Consider the following 26455-nt stretch of genomic DNA (forward strand, 5'->3'; position numbering starts at 1 on the left):
ATCACTTTTTTTTTTTTTGAGACAGAGTCTCACTCACTCTGTCGCCCAGGCTGGAGAGCAGTGGTGCAATCTCGGCTCACTGCAACCTCCGCCTCCCAGCCCAAGCGATTCTCCTGCCTCAGCCTCTGAGGTAGCTGGGATTACAGGCGTGTGCCACCACATCTGGCTAATTTTTGTATTTTTATTAGAGACAAAGTTTCACTCTGTTGGCCAGGCTGATCTCGAACTCCTAACCTCAAGTGATCTGCCCACCTCGGCCTCCCAAAGTACTGGGATTACAGGTGTGAGCCACCGCGCCCGGCCATATCACTTTTAATGACCAAGCCTCAGAACTCATGCAGCCACTTCCACCACACCCAGTGGTTGAGGTCATCACAAAAGTCCATCCGGGTTCAAGCGGAGGGGACCAAGACCCACCTTTTGAGTGCTTCAACCTCACCAGGAATCCAGGATCCTTCCACCTTTCTGCTCTGCGGACTTTGCTCTGTGTCCCGTGGTTACAAAATGGCTGTTGCCAATTCGACATTTTAGGCAGACACAGCAATGTCCGGTGGAAGAAGAGAGAACTGCCATGATCTTGTATCTCTCGTTTGTCTCCAGTATTTTTACTGAAATACAAAATACAGGCTGGGCGCGGTGGCTCACACCTGTAATCCCAGCACTTTGGGAGGTCAAGGCGGGTATGGATCACTTGAGTTCAGGAGTTCAAGACCAGCCTGGCCAACGTAGTGAAACCCCATCTCTACTAAAAATACAAAAATTAGCCGGATGTGGTGGCACATGCCTGTAGTCTTAGCTACTCGGAAGGCTGAGGCAGGAGAATTACTTGAACCAGGGAGGCAGAGGTTGTAGTGAGATGAGATCAAGCCACTGCACTCCAGCCTGGGCGACAGAGTGAGACTCCACCTAAAAAAAAAAAAAAAAAAAAAAAAGTGCATAGATCATAAGTGCACAGAGCAATGCATTTCCAAAGGTGAGCATGTCCGTGTACCCAACACCCAGATGAACATGACCAGAGGAGAAGCACCCAGAAACCCCTCTGCTCCCCCTCAGCCACTACCTTTTCCACGATGGCTGAATCTTGGCGGTCTATGCTTTTGATAGAAATGGAATGCTACACACGTGTGCTTGTGTGCCTAGCTTTTCTTGCTGCTGTGCCTACCTGCTTTTCTTGCCTGCACTACATTACGAACTTACTCATAAAAACACTATGCAGTCGAGTATAGCTGCAGGTAGCTCTTTTTCATTGCTATATAACGTTTCATTGTGAGATAGAATGATTTATTTAACCATTCTCCTGTTGATAGACATCTGGGTTGTTTGGCAATTATGATGAGCGCTGTGGTTAATGTCCTCCTAGTGGGTGTCTTATTTTAGACATATAAATGCACTGCTGTATCACAAGGAATGAAATTGCAGGGTCAAAGAGTAGGCAATGTTCAGATGTAGTAGGAACTTCCTAACTGTTTCCAAAGTGGTTGACAATGTCCCTGGCTCCAAGCTTGGAAGCCCAGCCCCCGATGCTGGGACACTCACACTGTGCCCAGTCTCCTGCCCCAGGGTCAGTGAACCACCCCCACCTGCTGCTTTCTGCCTTCTGTGGCCCTGAGATGGCAATTCCAAGATGGGCTGTCAATACCAAACCTTGTCACCTCCCAAGACAACAGGGCTGTCAATGACATCTCAACAACGGAATTTCTAACTTGCAGGTTTTAAAAGGGGGTTAGCTTTTAGGACCATAAAAATGTGCTTATTGCAAAATATTGGAAAAACTTCCAAGTTTAAAGAAGAAAATAAAAATAAAGATCTGTCCCCTCATTCTGGTCCAACAACCTCCACTTGTAACCACTCAGGGGGTTCACCTTGCCTGCTGCCTAGACAGAGCCAATTCATCAACATGGGGAAACTGCAATAGAGAAAGAGTAATTCATGCAGAGCCGGCTGTGCAGGAGACCAGAGTTTTACTATTACTCAAATCAGTCTCCCCAAGCCATTCAGGGAGCAGAGCTTTTAAGGATAACTTTGTGAGTGGGGAGAAGCCAGTGAGCCAGGAGTGCTGATTGGTCAGAGATGAAATCATAGGGAGTCGAAGCTGTCGTCTTGTGCTGAGTCAGTTCCTGGGTGGGGGCCACAAGATCAGAGGAGCCAGTTTATGCATCTGGGTGGTGCCAGCTGACGCATCACGTGCAGGGTCTGCAAAACATCTCAAGCCCTGACTTTAGGAGCAGTTTAGGGAGGGTCAGAATCTTGTAGCCTCCAGCTGCATGACTGCTAAACCATAATTTCTAAGCCTGTGGCTAATGTGAGTCCTATAAAGGCAATCTAGTCCCCAGGCAAGAAGGAGGCTGCTTTAGGAAAGGGTTGTTATGTTGTCTTTGTTTAAACTAGAAACTAAGTTTCTTCCAAAGTTAGTTCAGCCTAAGCCCAGGAATGAACAAGGACAGCTTGGAGGTTAGAAGCAAGATGGAGTTTGTTTAGTTAGATCTCTTTCACTGTCTCAGTCATAATTCCGCAACGGCGGTTTCACAGTGACATTTTAGTGTATTTCCTTCCCATCTTTTTTCTCCTCGCATATATAGACACATGATTGCAGCTAACTTGTATAACATGTGATATTCCAGGCACGACTTTTTTTAACCCATTCAATTTATATCAACTCATTTATTTTTTCATAACACTCCATTCAAATGACTACTATCATTATTATTGTTATTAATTTTTTTTGAGACAGGGTCTTGCTGCTACCCAGGCTTGAGTGCAGTGGTGAGATCTCGGCTCACTGCAACCTCCACCTCCTGGTTCAAACGATTCTTCTGCCTCAGCTTCCCAAGTAGCTGGGATTACAGGCGTGTGCCACCACACCCAGCTAATTTTTGTACTTGTAGTAGAGATTGAGTTTCACCATGTTGCTCTGGCTGGTCTTGAACTCCTGGCCTCAAGTGATCATCCACCTTGGCCTCCCAAAGTACTGGGATTATAGGTGTGAGCCACTATGCCTGGCCCAAATGGCTACTGTTATTATCCTCACTTTACAGATGAGGAAAAAGAGGCTCAGAGAGGCGAGGTGACTTGCCTAAGGTCACACAGCTCTAGAGCAATGATTTTGCTTTTAACAACTGCACTGTACGTCTCCCCAGTCTTGTTCTTATTCACCTGGAATCAGGAGGATGGAGAATAAGCGTTGATCATGGGTTTGGGAGTCACAGCTTTAGAGCCTGGGAGGCCCCCAGCTTCCTGGATCCCTAGGGTCAGGCTCCGAAGGGCGCTTCCTGCTCTCTGTTCACACGTCTGACTCTGGGGGCCTAGCCCCAGGACACTGATCATGGGGAACCACCTGACCTCCTCACCACCCCCACCCCTGTCCCAGCGCCCCAGCAAGAAAGGAGTCAGGTTGGGCGTTCACCTGTCCACAGCCAGGTGCCTTCCAGCTCAGCAGCTGAAGATAAAAATCTATTAGCTGCCAAGAGGATTGCTGGGAAAAGCCAAGCCGTGATTCATAGGGTAATAAATAGAAAGACAGTCCCGGCCCCGGGGCTGCATCTTCCTTGCATGCTGATCCCGCATCTGTGGCACTTCCCAGCCACCCCAGGGGGACGCTGGCACCCGAGGTAGGCTGTGGCAGGCTCACTCCTGTGCAGCAAGAGCTGGCCTCCGGGAAACCGGGGGGAGTCTCCGGAGCATGTACAGGAGACCTGCCCCGCCCAGCACACACGCTCCTTCACTCCCAGGTCAGCATCCTGGGGCCTCCGTGTCCTTGTCTGGACCATGGGTGTAAAGAAGCCACATTTCATCACAACGAAGCCAGCACCGATGTCAGCTGCACAATGTTTTGTCCTGTTATGGTCTTAATGTTGGTGTCCCCAACATATGTTGAAATCCCAATTCCTAAGTTGATGGGTTTAGGAGATGGCGCCTTTGTGGGGGTGATTCAGTCACGAGGGTGGAGGCTTCATGAGTGGGATTAGTGCCGTCATAACAGAGGCTCTCACGAGACCCCCGTCCCTTTCACCGCGTGAGGACACAGTGGGAAGACGGCCATCCATAAGCCGGAAAACGAGCCCTTCCCGGACACCCAATCTGCCTTGATCTTGGACTTCCCATCCTCCAAAACTGCGACAAATAAATTTCTACTGTTCATAAGCCACCCAATCTATGGTATTTTGTTGTAGTGATCTCCAGGACGTCCCTAGGAGTTGGCGCTGCCAACTGGTGTTTAAAAGAATTAAGACAGAAGCGAAGGATGAGGAAGAGCCAGCCAAGCAGACATCTGGGGGGAAGGCGTGCCAGGCTGGGGGGACAGCAAGGGCAAAGTCCTGCGGCAGAAACAAGTCAGTGGGTCCGAAGAACAGAGGGAAAGCTATTGGGAACGGAGCAGAGGGGATAGAAGAGAGGTCCGCGATAAGATGGAGGGGTGGGTGGGGCCTTGAAAGTCATGGTAATGCATGCAGATTTCTTCTAGAAGCAACGAGAGCCTCTGGAAATTGAAGGCAAGGCTGCGCATTGTCTGATGGATGATGGCAAGTGTTGCTTTGACTGTCCTCTGGGGATCTGACTGCAGGAGGCAAGGGCAGCACCAACTCCTAGGGGCGTCCTGGAGGTCGCTGTCATCACGCTGGGCCTGTGATGAGTGCTCAGCCCATGATGGTCAGGGTGGATATTGCTGTGATATCATTGTTGCCAACAGGCCCTTTCCATATGCCAGCAGAGGCTCATACCGAATCTAATCCCCCAAAGCTCAGAATCCGGGAAAAGTAAGATACTTTAATTCCTCCAAGTAAGGGGGCCCAGGTCCGAGACCCAAAGAAGACTCTGGGACCTCAGGGGAGGAGGGGGTCAGCTGGGACCGCCCTCCTCTAACACCCCTTCCCACACCTTGGAATGCACCTCAGGCCCAGAAGGACTAACTGAGTTGACATCCCCAATTCACCCCAGGCCTTCTCTCAACGTCCTAGAAAAGCTACCCATCTGTCTGCCAAAATCTCTGCATCTCCCCAGCCAGGCAACTCCCAACCCATTTACCAACTGGAAAGGATCCTTGGCCCCCAGCTACTGTTCCCTGCTCAGAACTCTCAGTGAATCTTGGCTGCAACTGCCACCTACTTGATGTCTGTGAGTGAATATTCCATGTCTCCCCCATTGAGTTTCCCCAGGTCAGAGACTGCTGAAACTTGCAGGGAACTCTGAGATGGCCAAGCTCAGGGTTGGCGAATACATAGCACTTTCCCTGCCTACACCTAGGCAGACATCAGAAATCAATCCCAGCTCTCTCTCCCATTGAGCTTGAGCATTGCCTGAGAATCCTCAGCCTAGACCTTAGTGCAATCTAGGAATTGGCACAGGATTAAAGCTCCTGGCTGTGCCCAGTCTAGCACAAAGCCCTCATTTCGTAAGTGGGGAAACTGACGCCCAGTAACAGGAAGGGACTAAAATTCAGGCCCCTTGACTTCCAGCCAACAGTCTCTTTCCTCGAGGGCAAAGGGACATCTATCATTTATGTTCTCCCTGTGGGATATGGTGAAGAGATAGTGTACAACAGAGATTTGTTCAACGAATAACAAGAATGAAACAAACAAAAAACAAGGAAAGAAAGAAGAGAGTTTTAGATGCAATAGGTAAAAACTGGCTCGGGTGTGAGAAAGAAACCCATGACATCGTGTTGCTAGACGTTTAGAAAAGTTGCTAAGGGAAATTTTTAGAGTGTCTTTCCTTGCAGAACTTTAAAAATAGTCCTGAAAAAAAAAAAGTAGTCCTGATTAAGTGCCCATCTGCCTGGGAGCCTCCTGCGGAATGCTGGGTGTGTTATTCACTCATAGTTGACAAGTGTTTGTTGAACATCAACTATATGCTGAGCATAAATCAGTCATTGAATTAAAAAGCAAAAATAACAGCTAGAATCTGTATCTCTCTGAGTTAGAGATCTTTGGCTGCAAGCAACAGAAACCAAGTCCAAAACTCAAGCACGAAGGGGGTTTGGGGAAGGAAAGAGGATGACTCACAAAAATGACAGAACAGCTCAACTCGGCTCGCCTGGGCACTGCCTGTGGCATGAATCGTCTCCCTGCTATTTCTTCATATTTTCCCAGATTCAAAATCTGGGTAAGAGAGGCTGCTGGCCTCACTTGGGTCAACTCTTGATCAGGAGAAGGTGGAGCTCCTTGATTGGCAGCTCTTTGTTTTAGCCCAGGTTACCTGGAGCACAGAGGCTGAGGCAGGGTTTCCTGGCTAATGCTATTCTGATGGGGTGCAAGCTTAGGACGGCAAGAGTGAGAGCAAAGGGACAAACAAGGTGACGGGCCTCTGAGATGGTCATGGCATCACATCAACCACAGCTGGACAGTGGGTCACATGAGACTGTGCTAGCTTCCATCCACCTCCTACGTCTCATGGGTCAGAGCTCTGGGAAAGCCAGAGCCAACACTCCACAGCACAGAGCTTCATCTGCTCCAGAAGGGAGAGGGAAACAGCACCTCCATGGGCTGGGTCAAACCAAGCCTGGGAACTAAATGACTGCACGGCTCCTTCTTGGTGGGTGTATTAGTTATCCACTGCCACGTAACAAAATATCCTAAAACCAACCATAAATATATGTGATCTCACACAGTTTCTGTGGGTCAGAGATTGGAGAGCAGCTTAGCTGGGTGGCTCTGCTCTAGGGTCTCTCACGAGGGTACAATCAGGGTATCAGCTGGGGCTGCAGTCATCTCAAGGCTTTATTGAGGCAGAGACACCCATTTCCAAGATGGCGCACACACGTGGCTGCTGGTGGGTGTGTTCATCAGCTCGGGCTGCTGTCACAAAAGACCACAGGCTGTGTGGCTTCAACAATAGACATTTATTTTCTCACAGTTCTGGAGGCTGAAAACTCCAAGATCAAGGGTTAGCAGGTTTGGTTTTCCCTTCTGGGGCCACGAATGTGTTCTGGAGCTAGCTCTCGATGATCTGGAAGTCCCCAAGCACATGGTGGAGGCACTTAATGTCACTGAGCTGTACACTTTCAGATGGTTACGATGGAGAATTTTATATCATGTATATTTTCACACACACACACACACACACACACACACACACACACACACACAATCTGCGTCAGGGGTTTGGGGATCATGTCTCAGCTCTGCCACTAAATGAGTTTGTCTTTGAGAAAGTGACTTTCTCTCCCTGGCCTTGGTTTCTCTCCTCCCACTCTCCAATCTTCTGATGGGCCTCCCATTGGCCAAACCCAACCAGGAGCCAGAGGACAACGGGATCAGGGTCAGTCCCTGGGGGTCACAGATCTGGCGGACAAGATTGGAGAGTGGCTTGGACAAGCAAGCTTACGGGGGAACCACCATGTTACCCTAGAAATAACAGGCCAAGAAGAGAAGCGACATCTTCTGGTGTTTGATTTGCTTGCCTCTGGCTAAGTGCCTGTCTCCTTAGCCCCTAGCTCCCTCCTTGCCCAGAGAGAGGCTTCCTGCAAAGTGCTGACCCAGCGCCACCCCGCCAGATGCCAACAGGAATTTCTTAAGCATATGTGCCACACCAGCTCCATTCTCAGCACCACACCCACTGCCAGCGCCTGCAGTCCTTGTCTTGGCTTCTGGCTGTGCAGGGGAGGGTCCCAGCACTGCCTGTTCCCCCCAGGGAGGCTCCAGCCCATCTCGGTTAAACCTCATCTTACCAACCTTTGGGTCTTAAGGCTCTTCACTTGGGATCCAGCACAAGTCAGTCAGTAATTCATTCAACAAACCTTCACGGTGCAAAGTGCCCAAGATGTAGGGGTGTTGGGCAGAAGGGAGGTTCCAGCCTTTGAGGAGCTCCCAGTTCTGCAAGCAGGACAGAGAAGCAAATGCCCCATCCCAGGCAGAGTAACAATATTTAAAAATAAATAATTAGCATTGGATGCTCACGGTGGCTCACAATTGTAATCTCAGCACTTTGGGAGGCCAAGGCAGGAGAGCGTGGGGCCAGAAGTTTGAGACCAGCCTGGGTAACATAGCAAAACCCTGTCTCTACTAAAACAAACAAACACACAAGCTCAGCTGGGCATGGTGGTGCATGCCTGTGGTCCCAGCTACTCGGGGGCCTGAGGTAGGAGGCTCACTTGAGCCCAGGAGGGCAAGGCTGCAGTGAGCCGAGATCGTGCCGCTGCACTCCAGGCCGGGCGGCAGAGCAAGACCCTATCTCTAACAATAAAAATAAAAAATAATAGTTCAAGTTGAGGCTCCCTGAGTGCCTGTTGTACACCAGGCTCCTTACCTGTGTCAGCCCCCTTCATTCTGGACGGTACAGTTGTCACACCCACTGCTGTGGTCTGAATGTTCGGGGTGCAGCAAAAATGCACATGTTGGAGCCTAGCACCCAACATGATATTAATATTAGTAGTATCAAGAGGGGCCTTTGGGGGAATGATTAAATCATCAGTGCTCTGCCCTCACAAATGGGATCAGGGCTCTTACAAAAGAGGTTGAAGGGCCAGGCATGGTGGCAGGTGCCTATAAGCCCAGCTACTTGGGAGGCTAAGGCAGGAGAATCATTTGAACCTTTGGGGGCCGAGTTTGCAGTGAGCCAAGATCATGCCACTGCACTCCAGCCTGGGCAAAAAGAGCTAAATTCCATCTCAAAAAAAAAAAAAAAAAAAAAAAAGAGGATGGAAAGAGAGCCCTAGTCTCCTTGCCCTTCTGCCTTCCACCATGTGAGGACACAGGAAGTGCCATCTATGAAGCAAAGAGTGGCCCTCACCAGACACAGAACCTGCTGGCACCTGGAACTTGGCCTCGCCAGCCTCCAGAACTGTGAGGAATACATTGCTATTATTTCTAAATTACCCAGCCTAAGATACTTTGTGATCGAAGCCAGAATGGACCAACACGCTCACTTTACAGGTGAAGAGACTGAGGCACAGAGAGGATAAGTAACCTGCTCAACGCCATATCGCCAAGCAATGGCAGTGCCAGGGTTCCAACTCAGGACCTGGGCTCCCGACCTGTGCTCGCCAGCACGATCTGGTGCTGCCGTGGTGATTCCAGCGATGGGGGAAACCACAAGAGGAGGAGAGACCCATGCCCGACGGATGGGCAAAAATTAGAGGCCAACACCATCAAGAGCTGGCGGCACTGCAGAGAACCGGGGATTCTTGCTGAACCTGCTCTGCCATTTTGGACATCCGTGCAATATTAGGTACTAAAACTGAAGATCATCCTATCCCGTGAGCCAGCAATCCCACTCCTTGCCATATATTCCCCAGAGAAATGAAATCATATGCCCACATCAAGATGAATTCTCATGGCCGCTTTATCCATAGCAGCCAGGAACTGGAAAAAGAATAAAAAGACCAACAACCCACGGATGTCCATCCACAGGTGAAAAGATGAACAAATCACAGGACAGCCGTAAGATGGAGCCTCGGCAATTAAAGGAAACACAGGACTGATACACACACGTGTGTGGATCTCATGCGAACAAAAAGCCAGACGTGGCGCAGTGGCTCAAGCCTGTAAGCCCAGCACTTTGAGAGGCTGAGGTAGGCCAGCACTTTGAGAGGCTGAGATAGGACGATCACTTAAGCCCAGGAGTTTGAGACCAGCCTGGACGACACAGCAAGATCCCATCTCTACAAAAAATACAAAAATTAGCCAGGCGTCATGGCACAGGCCTGTGGTCCCAGCTATTTGGGAGGCCGAGGCAGGAGGATGGCTTAAGCCCAGGAGTTCGAGACTGCAGTGAGCTGTGATTGTGCCGCTGCACTCCAGCCTGGGCAACAGAGTGAGACCCTGTATCTAAAACAAAATAAAGTAATAAAAAGAAGAATGCACCATTTGATTCCTTTTTTTTTTTTTTTTGAGATGGAGTCTCACTTTGTTGCCCAGCCTGGAGTGCAGTGGCATGATCTCAGCTCACTGCAACCTCCACGATCTCCTTCAAGTGATTCTCCTGCTTCAGCCTCCTGAGTAGCTGGGATTACAGGCATGTGTCACCACATCCAGCTAATTTTTGTATTTTTAGTAGAGATGGGGTTTCACCATGTTGGCCAGGCTGGTCTCGAACTCTTGACCTCAGGTGATCCACCTGCATTAGCCTCCCAAAGTGCTAGGATTACAGGCGTGAGCCACCGTGCCCGGCCTGATTCCATTTTTTTATTCCTAGAAGAGGCAAAACTAGTCCATAGTGTTAGGGGTGCACGCTTGGGTGGAAAACCTCTAAGGAGAGGCAGGGAAGGGGCTACCACAAGGGGCAGGGGCTTGGTTGGCCCTTGGGGAGGAGGGGAAGGGTAGCTGGGAAGGGGCACATAGGTGGGGGGTACAGGGAGGATCTCAAGAGGGCCATGTTCTACTTCTTGCCCTGGGCGCTGGGAATGGGGGCTAGCTTCATGCATATGCTTTCCACTGACACTGGTGCACTTTGCTCTGTGTGCTCTATTTTAGAAGCAGAAACCCAGGGGCTTTGGCCCTTGGCATTCATTAGGCAATTGGCCTTTTTTTTTTTTTTTTTTTTTTTTTTGAGAGAGGGTCTCACTCTGTCACCCAGGCTGGAGTGCAGTGGCACAATCTCAGCTCACTGCAACCTCCATCTCCTGGGTTCAAGCAATTCTCCTGCCTCAACCTCTCAAGTAGCTGGGATTTCAGGCATCTGCCACCACACCTGGCTAATTTTTGTATTTTTGGTAGAGATGGGGTTTCGCCATGTTGGCCAGGCTGGTCTCGAACCTCTGGCCTCAAGCAATCCACCTGCCTCAGCCTCCCAAAGTGCTGGGATTATAGGTGTGAGCCACTGCGCCCAGTTACGGAACTTTTTAACGGAGTCCTTACTATGTGCAGGTGCTGAGGCTAAGGTATTAGGGACACAGGGAGAGCAAAAAAGATATGACCTCCATCCCCAAGGGGCTCATGGACAAGCAGGACAGATGGACGTTAAACAGATAAACACACATGATTGCAGATTGCAGATTGCTTCACGACAGCTGCTCCAAGTCAGTGAGGGAGCTTTGGGACGGGCCGCACATTCTCCTTACAGGGAGATCTGTTTGAATGGGTCAAAGAGAAATAGTGGCCAATGCTTCTCTCTCCTCCCCCACGATTGTATATTCTATATACTTTTCTTAATTCCATTCTTATCAGCAGCTCTGTGAGGAAGATATTATCTCTATTCCCATTTTACAGATGGAACTGAAGCAGAGAAAGCTCACGTCGCTTGTCCAAAGTTACTCAGTTCAAGTGGCAGAGCTGGGATTTGAACCCAGGTGGTCCAGCTCCAAAAGCCCTAAGCCTGACTCTCGTCTGCCCCAGAGGGAGTGGCCTGGGGAGGCTGAAATGAATAGGATGCACAAGGCCAGTGTCATGGACTGGACGTGACCCCCAAGACGTCTAGTTGAAATCCCAGCCCCCACACGAGTGTTATTAGGATGGAGGCTTTGGGGAGGTGATTGGGTTAAAGTCATGAGGGCGGAGCCTCCGGGATGGGCTTAGTGTCCTTATAAGATCCAGCACCTCCACTCTCTCTAGGGGCACGCACTGGTGAAAGGTCGGGGGAGCACACAGGGAAAGGTGCCATTTGCAAGCCGGGAAGAGGGCCCTCACCAGAATCCAGCGTTTTTGGTATCCTGATCTCACACTTCGAGCCTCCAGAACCATGAGAAATAAACGTCTGTTGTTTGAGCCTCCCAGCTGATGGTATTTTACCATAGCAGCCCAAGCTAAGACAGCCAGGAAAGCAGGGACTAGCAGGGAACAGCACTGCCCTGGAGGGACCAGCATGTACTAAGGCCCAAGCTGCAAGCAGCGCGGTGGGGGAGGGAAGGGGCTAAAGACTGAGCACAGTGCAGGATGTGGGGCTGGGGGGGAGGGGGCGGCAGACAGGGGTCCCCACCCAGCCCCAGGGGGGCCAAATGCGGAGCTTTGAAGCTGCCCTTGATCCTAGCCCCACTGCAAGTCAGGTGTCATGAGAGTTCCTTGGCCGCTGCCGGCATGAAATGGAGTCATATGTAGTTGATTCTCACCTGCATGGAATTCTTTCCCCTTCTCCTTTAAGTCCTAAGGAACAGGCTTCAAACCACGGTGTCGTGAAAAACCTAATTGCAATCGTGCTGGCCTACGAGGCCCCCAAACCTCCTGCTTCCTAGAACATCTGTGGGTGCACACAGAGCCCTTCCTGCAACTTGCCTTGGGCGCTTCCCTAGTCTCCAGGGCCTCTGGAGGGGCCCCGCCTCCCAGAATCGGGGTGTCTACCTCGCCCACCCCAGCCGCCCGCCTGTGGAGGGAGCAGCAGCTTCACGTTCACACCCCAAACTCCACAACCCCTAATTAGACACAGGCACCGCGCGAGCGGAGATGGTGGGTGAGGTTCCTGTTTAGTGAAAGTGTCATTTCATTTCTCTCCCTGCTTTTGAAACTCGCTGCTGGTAACACAGATCGGAAAAAAGAGAACGCCCACAGAAACCCGAGCGCGGGGGCAGGGTGGGCGCGAAGCAGCGAGTACACACACATACACGCCGCGTGCTCACGTGGCTGGGCTCCCCACGCAGACACACACCGCTCCCCTGCCTGGGTGGAGAGCCGGGGCCCAGGAGCCAGACATCCCGGATTCAAATCCTGCCTCATGCAAGGGGATCGGCCACTCTTGGCCTGCAGTTCCCCAACTGTAAAGTAAGGAGGACTATTTAGAATGCCCCCCTCCCCCCAACTCTTCTACCTGGCTCTGTGTCCCCTGGGGCTGACCCACATAGGCTGCATCAACAGACTCCGACCTGCCGGCCTCTGGCTGAGGTTGACCAATGGGAATCACCGGCAGCAGATGGAGGGCAGACAGGAGGAAGTAGGGGCAGTCATCCCCCGGCTCTTGCCCACCAGGGCTGAGGTTTGGGAGTGGCTGTGTCCCTCTCCTGACATCACAGCTCCTTTGGGCAGCGCTTTTTTATTTTTCTTTTTGAGGCAGGGTGTCACTCTGTAGCCCAGGCTGGAGAGCAGTGGTGCCATCATAGCTCACTGCAGCCTCAACCTCCCAGGTTCAAGCAGCCTTCTCACCTCAGCCTCCCCAGTAGCTGGGACCACAGGTGCACGCCACCACACTTGGCTAATTTTTTGATTTTTTTGTAGAAACGGTATCTTGATATGTTTCCCAGGCTTGTCTCGAACTCCTGGGCTCAAGCGATCCTCCCACCTTGGCCTCCCAAAAGTGCTGGGATTACAGGCGTGAGCCACTGTGCCTGGCCTAGCCTGTTCTTGCAACTGCCTGTATCAGTCTTCTGTTGCTGCTGTAACAAATGGCCACAGACACAGTGGCTTCAGGACACACATTTATCATCTCCGAGCTCTGGAGGGCAGAAGCCCTACATGGGTCTCACTGGGTTAAAATCAAGGCATCAGCAGGTGTGCTCCCTCTGGAAGCTCTAGGGAAGAACCTGTTTCTTGCCTTTTCTGGCTTCTGGGGGACACCTGCCCTCCTTGGATTATGGTCCCTTCCTCTGACTTCAAGGCTGGCAGTGTAGCATCTTCAAATCTCTCTGACTCTGACCTCCTCCTTCCACTATTAAGGACCCCGGTGATGACACTGAGCCTACCTAGGTAATCCAGGATAATCTCATCTCAGGGCCAGCTGATTAGCAATCTCAATCCATCTGCCTCCCTATTTCCCCTTGCCATGTAATCTGACATAGTTGCAGGTTCCAGAAATTAGGATGCGGACATCTCTGCAGACCATTATCCTGCCTCCCACCGGACCCTCACTGGTTCTAGGCTCTATCCACTCTCCTGCTCCTTCAGGATTAGGACTACTAAGGGGGTCCCATGGTGCCACCCCCTCAGTGCCACACCCCCCCCCCCACTGTTTCCATAAATCCCACCCACCCCCCTATAATCATCCCTTCATTTCATCACCTCAATGGCCCCCATTTGAGCTGTCACCTGCAGGGACCTAATTAGTGCAGATAGTGAGATACTTGCCTTTTCCAGCTGAGGAATAAAGGACACATCACACATACCTGTCAGCCCCTCAGGCTGGTGCCTGGCACACGGCAAATGCTCAGCCACCTTTACAATCATAGTGTTTTATTTCTCTCACTAGATGCAGGCCCCCTTGTAAGTGGGAACTATGTACTGTTCTCTCATTTTTACTAGCCTTTGGCCTAGCTGCTGACAAAGAATTTCCAATCAATTTATTCATTCAACAAACATTTATCGAGCCCCAGCTAGACTCTGAGAGACAGAAATGAGATGATCTGACACCAACAACAAACAAACTTGCCCTCAGGAAGCTTCAAATCTAGTGAAGGAGACAACAGTTATACCAGTCATCATATAAACACACAATTACAAGATCACATCTCCTCCCAGATTCTCATGGAGGGCCTCCTCTGGACCAGCCAAGGCACTGGGCTTTTCAGGAGTACAGAAGTGAGGGAGGTATAATCCCTGCCCTCAAGATGTTGATAATCCCGTAAGGAAACAATTGGTGAAACAATCCTATAAGGAAACAATAAGTCCTACGCAGCCAGGACAATAGCAGCCAGCACTAGGCAGTGTCCACGGGTTTGTGCAGGCAAGCCTCACTTCAGTGAGGCAGTGGAGAGTGAACTCAGCAGGCCTGGGTTGTCCAAACCCTGCACATTCCAAAGAAAAGAATGGACCTTGATCAGCTCTGGACATAACCTTCACACCCTTGGAATATCATGCCTGATATGAGTGTCTTTGTATCTGGGCCAGGGGCCACACCACGTGGTTGATGCTAACAACCTGACTATATTGAATGCCTGTTTTCATTTGCCTGGTGCCCTGAGCCACACAGAATATTTGACCACTGTAGGGGCTGGAGAGTGAGTAACTGAGGTCAGCTACGTGGACGCTCCATGCCTATGTGCCTGACCCCCAATAAAAACCCTGGACACTGAGGCTCAGGCGAGCTTCTCTGGTTGGCAATTCTTTGTGTGTGTCATCACACAGTTTCTGGAAGAGATAAGTGCTGTTCATGCAACTCTGCTGGGAGAAGATAGCTGGGAGCTTGTGCCTGGCTTCTCCTAGCCTCTGCCCTGCACACCTTTTCCCTGTGCTGATTCCTGTCTGTGTCCTTTTGCTGTAATAAACCATAGCTACAAGTATGACAGCTTTCTGAGTTCTGTGAGTCCTTCCAGCAAGTCCCTGAACCTGAGGGTGGCCTGGGGGACCCGTGACACAGACCCTATAAGGCCCCTATATATAGTTTTTGAGACAAGGTCTCACTCTGTCACCCAGGCTGGAGTGCTGCAGTACAATCACAGCTCAATGAAGCCTCAACCTCCTGGGCTTAGGTGATTCTCTCACCTCAGCCTCCCAAGTAGCTGGGACTACAGGTGCATGCCCCACATCTGGCTAATTTTTGTATTTTTTTGTAGAAACGGGGTTTCACCATGTTGCCCAAGCTGGTCTCAAACTCCTAGGCTAAAGCAATCGACCCACCTTGGCCTCCCAAAGCTCTGGGATTACAGGCATGAGCCACCATGCCCAGTCCCCTATGAGACCCCTATTTTACAATCAGGGAAATCAAGGCTGGGAGCGGTGGCTCATGCTTGTAATCCCAGCACTTTGGGAGGCCGAGGTGAGGGGATCATGAGGTCAGGAGTTTGAGACCAGCCTGGACAACACAGTGAAACCCCATCTTTACTAAAAATACAAAAATCAGCTGGGCATGGTGGCAGGCACCTGTAGTCCCAGCTACTCAGGCAGCTGAGGCAGGAGAATCACTTGAACCCAGGAGTTGGAGGTTGCAGTGAGCCAAGATCGTGCCATTGTACTCCAGCCTGGGTGACAGAGTGAGACTCCATCTCAAAAAAACAAAAATGAAAACAAACAAACAAACAAAAAATCTGGGAAATCAAAGCCAAATGGTTTAAATGATGGCCCCACAGTCACATAGGAAGCAGCAGAGCTGGGGTTTGAATTCAGGTAGCCAGGCTTGCAGTCTGGCCTTGCCATGCCACTGGGTGCTAACAGACTGTGGTCAGAAAGAAGGAGGGTCCAGTCTGCCTGAGGCATTAGGAGCCACTTGGCAGGGGTGGGAGGATTAATTTGCATAGGACCCTAAAAATCAATAGTTACACCTTTTTTTCCTAATCATACGTGAAATAGGTATTCTTTATTGAAAAAAAGCAAGCAATAAATAAGTTGTGTTTGGCACAAAATGGACCCCTCTCTTAATTTGAATTCCAAAGACAACTGCCACCAACAGCCTGGAGTGTGTCCTTCAGTACCTTTCTCTACACGCAAACACGTACCTGAGCTAAAGCACTATATTACTTCCTATTACTGATGTAACAAGTGATCATAAACATAGCAGCTTAAACAACACCAGTATATTCTCTTATTGTCTGGAGGTCAGAAGTCCGAGATCGATTTCGTTGAGCTAAGCAAGACATCAGCAGGACCGGTTCCTTCCGGAGGAGAAGCATTTCTTTGTGTTTTGTGGCTTCTGGAGGCACCTGCATTCCTGCTCTCGTGAGCCCGTCCTCGCATCCCTACAACCTCTTGCTTACAGAGGTCACAGCTTCTGCCTTCTGCTTTCTCCTATAGTCAAATCTCCCTCTTACAAGGACAATTATGACTATGTTTAGGGCCCAGGATCATCTCCCCATCCCAAGATCTGTAACTGAATCCCATCTGTGAAGTTTCTCGTGCCATGTAAGTTTCGGGGATCAGGACATGGATGTCTTTGGGGACAGGATTCTGCCCACCCCATACCCTGCCTGCAGCCCCGCTGCTTGCCTTTCCCACCCCCTTCGTCAGCCTCTCTGTGCCAGCATGAGCGGACCTGCCTCATCCTTTCCACTGGATGAGCCCTTACACAGCAGCTGCCTATTAAAGGCAGGGCCAGCTGTGTTCACAGGGAAACGGGTCAGAGTTCTGACGCCCCTGGGAGCTGAGAGGAAGGAGCTGGCTGGTCCCTGCAGTCCAGGAGAAACTGAGAAAGAGCTCTGGAAAGGACTGAGTCTGCCTATGGCCAAAACCTCCCCTGGAGGCACTTCCAAGTTTCCCAGGTTCCCCAAGCCAGAGATGGCTGGTGCAATGTGTGAATTGACACCAAAGCTGGGACTTGGGGACAAAGGTGGCATAAAAGTGGAGGCCAGAATGCACTGGGAAAAAGCACCCTTATTTTGAGGTCATAGCCATGTACAGACCAGCGGGTGTCCAAAGGGACCTGCTTAAAACTTAATAGCTTCCTTAACGTTTACACTCACATTTCCACACTCATCCTCATGCTGCGTGCACAGGTTATGCTTTGACTGCTCCTCTAGCATCCCCCTGCCCATGCACCAGGCCTGTTAATTTATATTCTTGTTACTTGGTTCGTTCTCTTGTTTGACCTTCCAGGCCCCTGTCTAACAGATGGGTTATTTTATACATCAAAATGGAGGTTCAGAGAGTCAAATTGAGGAAAGAGGTTCAGAGAGGTTAGGCAACTTGCGCAAGGGCACACAGCCAGGAAGTCGCAGATCTGGTTTCGGATACACTGCCTCAGTTCCCTATCAGAGAGCTCTCTGGTGAGGACCAGAGATTAAGCTAGCATCCTAGGGAAGTCCAGATGGGAACTAGTGTCCTCTGTCATTTTTCTGCTATCAGCAGAGGGTCTTGGGCCTGGGTTTGACACCCATCTGGCTACCTCCAGATTGATCTCCAGCTGGGAGGCAGAGGTGTCCCCACCCGTCCAAGGTCACCAGGGTCATGACTGTCTAGACAAGATGTGAAATGTCCCCTTCCTCTTGGCCCCATGTTTGCCTGTGGCCTGAACTGCCTCCCGCATCTGCTGGTGAAGTCACATCCTTAGAGCCCTGGGGTGGGCACATGAGGTCATCCTGGCAGGCTCGAGCCAGCCCGTGCCTGCCCCCACCCCCCGCTGCAGCTGCCTGGTCCCACCCCGCAGAGGGATCAGGTTTTGGGGAGGGAAGAGGCTAAAACCAGCTCCCAGGATGGGAGACTTGGGAGCTCTGGTCAAACCATCCCTTTTCCTCTCCCATCCCAGACCTGGGGGAGAGACTGGGGTGCCACGAGGGCAGGAGTGACCAACTCCATCCAGGTTTGCCTGGGGCCATCCCAGTCTTAGTACCATGAGTCCTGTGTCCCAGGAACACCCTAGTCTGGAGCTCACGGAGGCAGCTGTGGACCCACCCGTATGGGGTTGTGGAGTTTCTCTTTCATTCCTCCTGGGAAAAGGCCTGTCCACAAGCCTCACACCCTTGCAACCCACTGGTGTTTCTGCGAAGGGTGGAGTGGGGAAAAGCGTATGTGTCTGCTCGCCTGTGTAGCCTTGTACAAACACTTACACCCCAACCTCAGTTTTGTCTTCTGGAGAATGGGGATAAGGATGCTACCCTCCTGGCAGAGCTGCTGAGAGGCTTAAAGGAGGGAGAGATTGTAAGTGGCCAGCAAGGGAGAGCTTTTATAAAGAACAGCACAGAGGGGAGATGGCAGGCAAAGCAGAGTGAGTGCTGGGGACATTCTGCAAGTGGAGGTGGCCACGGGCAGGGGCGGGTGCTGGTTGTGTGCCTAGAGTGTGCCAGGCCCACACGGGCTGTGTTCTCGGTTCACCCTCAGAGCTACCTAGGAGGGAACCCATGTAGTTCATGAATGTCATTACCCCCATTTTATGGATAAGGAAACTGAGGCTCTGGGGGCAGCCAGCAAGGGGCAAAGCCCTGCCCCCACCTGGCAGCAGCTGTCTTTGCAGATAGGAGCCTGCAGTGCAGGGGAGAGAAGGGACCCGTTTTTCCCGTCTGTTGCCCCGTCGTCACCCAGAGACCCAGAGGTGCTCGATGCTGGCAGCAGGAGCACCTGTGGGGCCCCAGGGCCAGGATGCCCTCCCAGACTCTGCCACCCACACCAGTGACTCCATCTTGGAGGTGGGAGCCTGTTTCCTCCTCTATAAAATGGGGATGAGGCCACTGAAGCAGTTGAAGGGAAGTTTCAGTGACCACCCGTGGCCAGCGCCGAGCCACGCAGGCTGGGGCACCCGGGGACTCCATGTGAGTGGCCAGGGTTGGAATCCTGATGATCCTGGGGACCTAGGGACACCTGCAGGGGACTGCAGCTCCCCTACCGCCTCCCAGCTGGGTGGGGCGTCTCTCTGTGCTCCCCCCATTACGGGCCACGGGCCACATCGTTCTGAGCTGTAACTTCCTGCTTACTCCTTGCTACACGCCTGTCTCCCTCCCTGCTGGGTCGCTGCAGGCAGATGCTTATTCGGGAGCTGGAGTCCAGGCTTCACCTCCTGGAGCCCTGTCCCCACCTTGGAGCAGTAGGGACAAAGCAGATGTCCCCTCCCACACCATGTCCTGGACGACTCCCTAGACCAGGGATTCTCAAAGTGAGGTCTGAGACTCTTGGAGGGATCCACAGGGTCCTTCTTTTCCTTCCCTACATCTCTGTGAGGTCGGGTTTTCTTCATGTCCTTCAACCAAAACGCCAAGTCACACCAGACCGGATGCAAAAGCAGATTTGGGAATCCAGCTCTCTTCTAAGGGACTGGACGTGAAAGAGGTTTGCAAAATTGTGAAACATACGATGCCACTCTCTTCTCACTATTTCTTTATGTTTGGGAAAAAAATGTTATCTTTCTTAAAATATATTACTCAACATATTAAGGAGCATAAAATTGTTCTTTTAAAATAAATGCATGTTTTGAAATTTTATCATGTTAATCTCTAATGCAGTAAATACTGATAAATAGAACCCACATAAACAAAAGCCCTTTTGGAGTCCTCAGTAATTTCTAAGGGTGTCATAGGGTCTAGGGGCCAAACAGTCTGGGAACTGCTCCCTTAAACAGCAATCTTACTTGATCCTTAAATTAAAATGGCTAACAGCAGCCGGGCACAGTGGCTCATGCCTGTAATTCCAGCACTTTGGGAGGCCAAGGCGGGCGGATGGATCGCCTGAGATCAGGAGTTGGAGACCAGCCTGGCCAACATGGTGAAACCCCGTCTCTACTAAAAATACAAAAATTAGCTGGGTGTGGTGATGCACACCTGTAATCCCAGCTACTCAGGAGGCTGAGGCAGGAGAATCGCTTGAACCCGGGAGGCAGAGCTTGCAGTGAACCAAGATCGTGCCACTGCACTCCAGCCTGGGTGACAGTGAGAATCTGTCTCCAAAAAAAAAAAAAAAAAAAATAGCAAAGAGTTACTTCACACTTTCTATGCACCTGGCATTGTCTGAACCTTGTGCATGGACAGTTGTACAGAGACATACACATAGATACTATCTAACAGCACACGAACCCTCTGAGGTGGGTTTCAATTACCCCATTTTACATATGGGGAACTCAGGCTCTAAGTGGCCCCTTAACCACCAGGGGCCACTGCCTCTGGGGAAGCCCCCCCACTGGGACCCTCAAAGTCTGTTTCAGGAGTGGCTGAGATTCCAGGACAAACCACCTGGAATTCTCAAAGTTGGCCCCCACCTTGGAAAATCCCCTGAGGCTCACTGGCCCAGACTACCTTGGGGGACCCCAAACCCTGGCATGTCCTGGTCACTTGCTCTGAAGGAAGCCTGGCCACTGCTCACTCACCCACCTCCCGCCACACCAGGCCTCCGGCTTTTCCGTGCTGCTCTTCGGACACCCAAACTGTGCCAGCCTCGGGGCTTTTGCACCTGCTGTTCCCTCCCGCCGGAATGCCTTTCCTCCACGTGGGGCCCGTCATCGTCCCTGGCCTCTCATGTAAAATAGCAGCACCCTCTCCCACTCGTCTTCCCCTCCACCCTTTCGCTGCTATTTCCTGTGTGACACTCGGCACTATGGGACATTGTGTTGTGGATGCACTGGTTCAGGGGTTCAGTGTCTGTCTCCCTGTGGAAATCTAAACCCGGTAAGAGCCCAGGCACAGCAACAGGTCCCAGCATGGTGGACTCAGTGAGTGGATGAACAGGATACGGGGACAGGAGAGTCACGCCTGGCTACAGGGACGCCCATCCACCTCCTCCAGCCTGGCTGACCGGCGCCGTGCTGGCCTGCTGCCCAGACTTGCCAGATCTTTCGATTTTTCAAAAGAAGCTGAACATCCAGATTTTTATGTAAAATCTTTTTTTTTTTTCACTAGCAACTTATTCAAATTAACAAAAAGAAAAAAACAGCTTGGTGAGCCAAACCTTATGTAGATAAACTCAGTTTGGCTAATCAGACTCGCCTTGCCTTCTAAGGGGAGGTGACATTTGAACAAGACTGGAAAGCCTTCAGAGCTAGGCGCAGGCCAAGCAGGGGAGGAGGGGAACAGGGTCGTGCCAGGCCAGCTGGGGCTGGGTTGTGGGGAGCATTTGAGAGGTCCGCACTCCGTGGACAGGCCCGTCACCCTTCCCCTTGGCTTCGGAAGTCTCCCCACCTCCCCCCGACCCCAGGCCCAGCTGGCTGCAAGCCATACACTTGAAGCATATGCGTGGAGTGTTTTGAGAAACGGAACACACAATACATCGCAAATAAGGCTGCTTCTCCGTCTGGCTGGGACACATCTCCACGCTCCGCCAGATGGTCCCCCGCCGCCTCCCCAGCTGAGGCCGGGGCTTTGTGAGGTTGCATTCTGCGTAGAGGCTCCTCTCCATTCTGCAAGAGGCTGCTGGGAAGCTCTCTCCCCGGGGTGGCCGGGAGGATTTTTCTTGGCCCACAGACAGGAAGCTGATTCAGCCGGGAACCTTCTTCTGCATTCAGAACCCCCACAGCTCCATCCTCCTCCATCCCCTGCCCACCACGCTCCATCCCCCACCAGCCCCCATGACCCAGAGCCCCAGTGCGCTGGTGTTTATTGCTAATTGTTTTCAGACAGATGGTGTGGCCCAGAGTCTAATTCCCCAGGCTAGGGGGCGGGGGATGCTAGAGGAGAAGGCCGTGACCTTGACCACTTGCATTCTTGAAGAAAATGTTTGGCCCAGCCTGGGAGGCGGGGCGGTGGGCAGTGATGGCTAGGGCTTACAGAGGGGAAGTTTCAGGGCTTTGAGAAGGGAACAGGGGAGTAGGAGGAGGCTTTGAAATGTGGGAAACAACCCTGCAGCCCCAAGGGCTGATAAAGCTGGCTGGAGAATGGCCCCACCTTCAGGAAGCCCTCTGGGATTGAAGCCTGCGAGGCAGGGAGAATTCCTCCTGCAGGGTTGGATTTAGGGATGTGGGGAGTAGGGGATTTGTGGGGAGGGTGGAAGACCTCCCCACAATTTAATAAGGAGCCTCACTTTTTTTTTTTTTTTTTTTTGAGACAGAGTCTCACCCTTTTGCCAGGCTAGAGTGCAGTGGCGCGATCTCGGCTCACTGCAACCTCTGACCCCCTGGTTCAACCAATTCTCCTGCCTCAGCCTACTGAGTAGCTGGGATTGCAGGCACGCACCACCAAGCCCAGCTACTTTTTGTATGGTTTGTAGAGATGGGGTTTCACCATGTTGGCCAGGATGGTCTCGATCTTCTGACCTCGTGATCCGCCCGCATTGGCCTCCCAGAGTGTTGGGATTACAGGCGTGAGCCATTGCACCCAGCCAGGAGCCTCACTTTTTAATGTAATTTCAACATGATCTGAAGGCTTACAGAGCCACCAACATTTCACTAGATCCCATGAGTCTGCCAAGCTGAATGAAGACCCCAAATTACAGATGAGAAAAAGAGGTGGCCTGTGAGGTGAGATGGCTTGCCTTAGGTCACACAGTCCACAAAGATCCATTGAGCTGTCACTCTGTGCCTGGTGGGAACACAGCCATGGCAGAGGACAGGACTGACAAAGTCCCTGTGTTCAGACTGGATAGGTTTGTACAGGTTTGTGAGAGGAGACAGACGCAACTACAAAGAAATACGTTCAGAAACGGAAAGGACTAGAAAGACAAAAAACTAGGGAACAGGGTAGGCAGGGATCTCTGGAGAAGATCAGAGAGGGCTTCTTGGAGGAGGCAAGCTCAAACATCGAGCCTTGAAGGCAGAGTTGAAACAAGCTGTGTCTACATCTCAAAACAGAGAGAAAGCCAGTGCAATGGCCCTGGGGTATGGATGAGCTTGTTGTGTCCAAGGAGGGGAAGCGTGGCCCCGGAAGCCATGATGGGGTGTATACAGAGCTGAGATTATAAAGCCCCTTCACCAATATCATTGAACACCAAATGCACCCACGACTAGAGAGCCAGCATCAGCATGATACCAAAACAGCGTGTTGCTCAACATCAGGTTATTTCAAGTTGCTTTCTTTGTAAGGGTTAAAGCAGAAGGGGTTCTTTAGGCTGGCTCAGGTTGACTGGGCCCTCCTTGATTGGTTGCTGTGAATCTCCAGTCTATTAGAAAAATTGCCCCCATTTCTTCTATTTCTGCTTATTTTTTTCTTTCTTTTTTGTTTTTAGAGACAGGTCTCTGTCACCCAGGCTGGGGTGCAGTGGCACAATCATAGCTCACTGCAGCCTCAACCTCCTAGGCTCAAGTGATCCTCCCACCTCAGCCTCCTGAATATCTGGGACTACAGGTGTGCAATGCCTCGCCTGGGTAATTTTTATTTATTTATTTATTTATTTATTTATTTATTTATTTATTTATTTATTTATTGTTTTGTAGAGATAAGGTCTCATTATGTTGCCCAGGCTGGTCTCAAACTCCTGACCTCAAGCAATCCTCCTGCCTTGGCCTCCCAAAGTGCTGGGATTACAGACACATAAGCCACTGTGCCCAGCCCAAACTACCCCCATTTCCAAGCTCAGTTTAATTACACGGCACCTGCAGGAGTGGCTCCGTTCTTGGTCTGCTGGGGCCTAGAGCAGGAGCTCAGTCCAAAACGAGGGCCTCACATAAATTTTATTTACCAGCTATGGAGGAAAATAGAGCAAGGAGGGTGGGAGAAATCAGGGGGACTCAGGTGTGACCTTAAATAGGAAGGTCAGGGAAGGGCTGCTGGAAAAGCAGAAAACAATCGAGAAAAGACCTGTAGGAGATGAGGAAGTGAGGCAGGCAGGAATGACGGAAGGAAGGAAGAGACTGATATGAGGTCCCTGGAGTAGCCAGATTCATAGAGAATTTCCGTCTCTGTGAATCTGGCTACTCCAGGGACCTCATATCAGTGGAATCTGACAGTATTTGTCCCTTTAAAACTGGCTTATTCTACTCGATATAATGTCTTCAAGGTTCATCCACATTGTAGCCTGTGTCAGAATGTCCTTCCTTTTTAAGGCTGAGTAATATTCCATTCTTTCTGGAAGGAAGGGCTTTCCAGAAAGAGGGAGCAACTGGTGTGCAAAGGTCCTGGGGAAGGTGTGTGCTTGGTATGTTCAAGGAGGCCAGAGCAGATGAGGCAGAGAGGGAGAGGGAGAGGAGGGGGCACTGAGCCTCGGGACACAGCAGAGGGTGAGGGAGTAGACCCCGCAGGGCATCGTGGGTTGTGGTAAGCACTGGCTTTTCCTCCAGGGACAAGGGAAATTGTTATAGGTGTTTGAGCAGAGGAGTGGCTTGTCTTGACTTAGGTCTAGCAGGATCCCTTTGGCTGCCAAGTGGAAAATCAACTGTGGGAATGAAGGCTGAGAGGCCGTCGAGGAGACTACTGCACCTGTCCAAGCCAGAGATGATGCTAGCTGGAGCCAGGGGAGGCAGCGGGCTGGAGAGAAGTGGTCACAGTCATGACAGATTTTTTTAAATTGTAGTAAAATACACATAACATAAAATGTATCATCGTAACCCTTTTCAAGCATTCAGTTCAGTGGCATGAAGGGCCTTCACACTGTTGTGCAGCCGTCGTCACCATCTGTCTGCAGAACTTTTTCATCTTCCCCAATTAAAACTGTCTCCATGAATCACAGCCCTGGCACTCACCATTCTACCTTCTGTCTCTATGAATCTGGCTACTCCAGAGACCTCATATCAGTGCAAACTGACAGTATTTGTCCTTTTATGACTGGCTTATTCTACTCACTATATTGTCTTCAAGATTCATCCACATCGTAGCCTGTGCCAGAATGTCCTTCCTTTTCAAGGCTGAGTAATACTCCATTGTCTGGATAGACCATATTTTGTTTAACCATCATCCATTGACGGACACTCTGGTTGCCTCCACCTTTTGGCCATTATGAACACTGCTGCTGTGAACACAGGTGTGCAAATATCTCTCCCAGTCCTTGAGGATGGATTTTTAAGGTATGGGCAATAAGATTCGCTTATGGCGCAGATCCAGGAGTGTGAGAAAAAGAGGCGTCAGTGTGGACCGAAGTCAGCTCAGCTCCTGCCCCACCCTGTCTTGATGGGCAAAAGGCCATTCCACCTCTGACATTCTAGGACATTCTTTTGAGACATTTCATAGCACGGCCTCAGCTCCTGACCCCTCACCTCTGCCATCTCAACCCCTCAGGGACTCTACTTCCCTTCTCTTCTGCCAAGCCTCCAGGTCAGCATCTGCCCGTCTTCATTTCTCAGACAGGCAGACCATCTCAGTCAGTGCATGCTATCAGCCTCCTCGTCACTGCTGTCCTCCCACCGCACCTCAGCAGGCTCAGATGAGTGAGACGCGAGGCTCTCGAGTGCTCTAGAACTCAGCTGAATTTCTGCTTTTAGTCCCATTCAGCGGAAACAGGGCCTTGCTTAGTCTTGAGCTTTCCCAGGCTTCTTCCACCCTGCCCAGGGATTGAATCTACTTACAGCCCTCCTTGGGCCAAGAGTCCCCACCAATGTCCCTGAAATGCCTATGGTCTCATCTGCCTTTAGGTCTTGGTCTGGTTCCAATGACACTGGGCTCTTTTCTGCTCCCCAAACATACTGAGTGAGTGCCTCCCCCAGGGCCTTTGCACCTACCATTCTGGGCCTTGCCCACTTTCCTCTTCGTTTTGCCACCCCTACTCACCCAGCAGTTTCCAGCTTCAACCTCCCTGCCTCGGAAACCTCCTCTATGCCTCAGGCTGAAGCCAGGCTCCCAGTCAGCTCCCCCCATGCCTCCCTGGAAACTTTCCTGTCTTGACACTTGTCCCATTAGGAAAGAGAGACAGGAGGGGGCAGTGGTTAACGCACAGACTGAAGTCAGACTGCCTGTGTCCAGATCCTGGCTCTCACTGAAGAGCAGAGTGACCTTGACCAAATCACGGAATCTCTCCCAGCCTCATTCATAAAATGAGGATAATCATGAACCCCATGCACAGGGTTGTGTGGGGATTAAATGAAATAATATACATCAAGTGCCCGGAACAGTGTCCGACGCAAAGTGTGCCATGAATAATTGTTGCTCTGTGGAATTCCTTGCTCACTGGCATCTTCCCTGCCTGGTGGTAACTCAGAGGAGAGAGGGGCTTGGTCTGCCCGGGGTGTGCAGGTATACCTGACGTGCTCTCCAGATCTGGACCAGCAGGGTAGACGGATGGACAGATGGAAGTTCTAACTCTGAGTCCATGCAGCAACCTCCTCCTCCTCTCCCGGTGCTGGCACTACCTCCATCCAGCCCCCTCCCCGCCCCTCCTGCCACTGGGGGCTCACCTGACCCAGCCCCCACCTCCCCAGCCTCCTGTACCCATTCAAGTGCAATTAAGCCAAACTTTTGATT

At 51.2% G+C, this 26455-nt stretch overlaps 5 annotated features.

The window, feature by feature from the left end:
* Positions 1297-1937: an enhancer, noted in NCBI's record as "H3K27ac hESC enhancer chr12:125120143-125120783 (GRCh37/hg19 assembly coordinates)". NCBI's record gives its function as "activates a minimal SCP1, AML or CMV promoter by ChIP-STARR-seq in naive H9 embryonic stem cells {active_cell/tissue: H9 hESC(naive)}" and the evidence as "EXISTENCE:reporter gene assay evidence [ECO:0000049][PMID:30033119]".
* Positions 1943-2237: an enhancer, noted in NCBI's record as "tiled region #4504; HepG2 Activating non-DNase unmatched - State 22:ReprW, and K562 Activating DNase matched - State 5:Enh". NCBI's record gives its function as "activates a minimal TATA promoter and a strong SV40 promoter by Sharpr-MPRA in HepG2 and K562 cells {active_cell/tissue: HepG2 | K562}" and the evidence as "EXISTENCE:reporter gene assay evidence [ECO:0000049][PMID:27701403]".
* Positions 11795-12404: an enhancer, noted in NCBI's record as "H3K27ac-H3K4me1 hESC enhancer chr12:125130641-125131250 (GRCh37/hg19 assembly coordinates)". NCBI's record gives its function as "activates a minimal SCP1, AML or CMV promoter by ChIP-STARR-seq in primed H9 embryonic stem cells {active_cell/tissue: H9 hESC(primed)}" and the evidence as "EXISTENCE:reporter gene assay evidence [ECO:0000049][PMID:30033119]".
* Positions 17441-17954: an enhancer, noted in NCBI's record as "H3K4me1 hESC enhancer chr12:125136287-125136800 (GRCh37/hg19 assembly coordinates)". NCBI's record gives its function as "activates a minimal SCP1, AML or CMV promoter by ChIP-STARR-seq in primed H9 embryonic stem cells {active_cell/tissue: H9 hESC(primed)}" and the evidence as "EXISTENCE:reporter gene assay evidence [ECO:0000049][PMID:30033119]".
* Positions 17955-18468: an enhancer, noted in NCBI's record as "H3K4me1 hESC enhancer chr12:125136801-125137314 (GRCh37/hg19 assembly coordinates)". NCBI's record gives its function as "activates a minimal SCP1, AML or CMV promoter by ChIP-STARR-seq in primed H9 embryonic stem cells {active_cell/tissue: H9 hESC(primed)}" and the evidence as "EXISTENCE:reporter gene assay evidence [ECO:0000049][PMID:30033119]".

This window comes from Homo sapiens, chromosome 12 (genome assembly GCF_000001405.40).
Source record: "Homo sapiens chromosome 12, GRCh38.p14 Primary Assembly".
Lineage (NCBI taxonomy): Eukaryota > Metazoa > Chordata > Mammalia > Primates > Hominidae > Homo > Homo sapiens.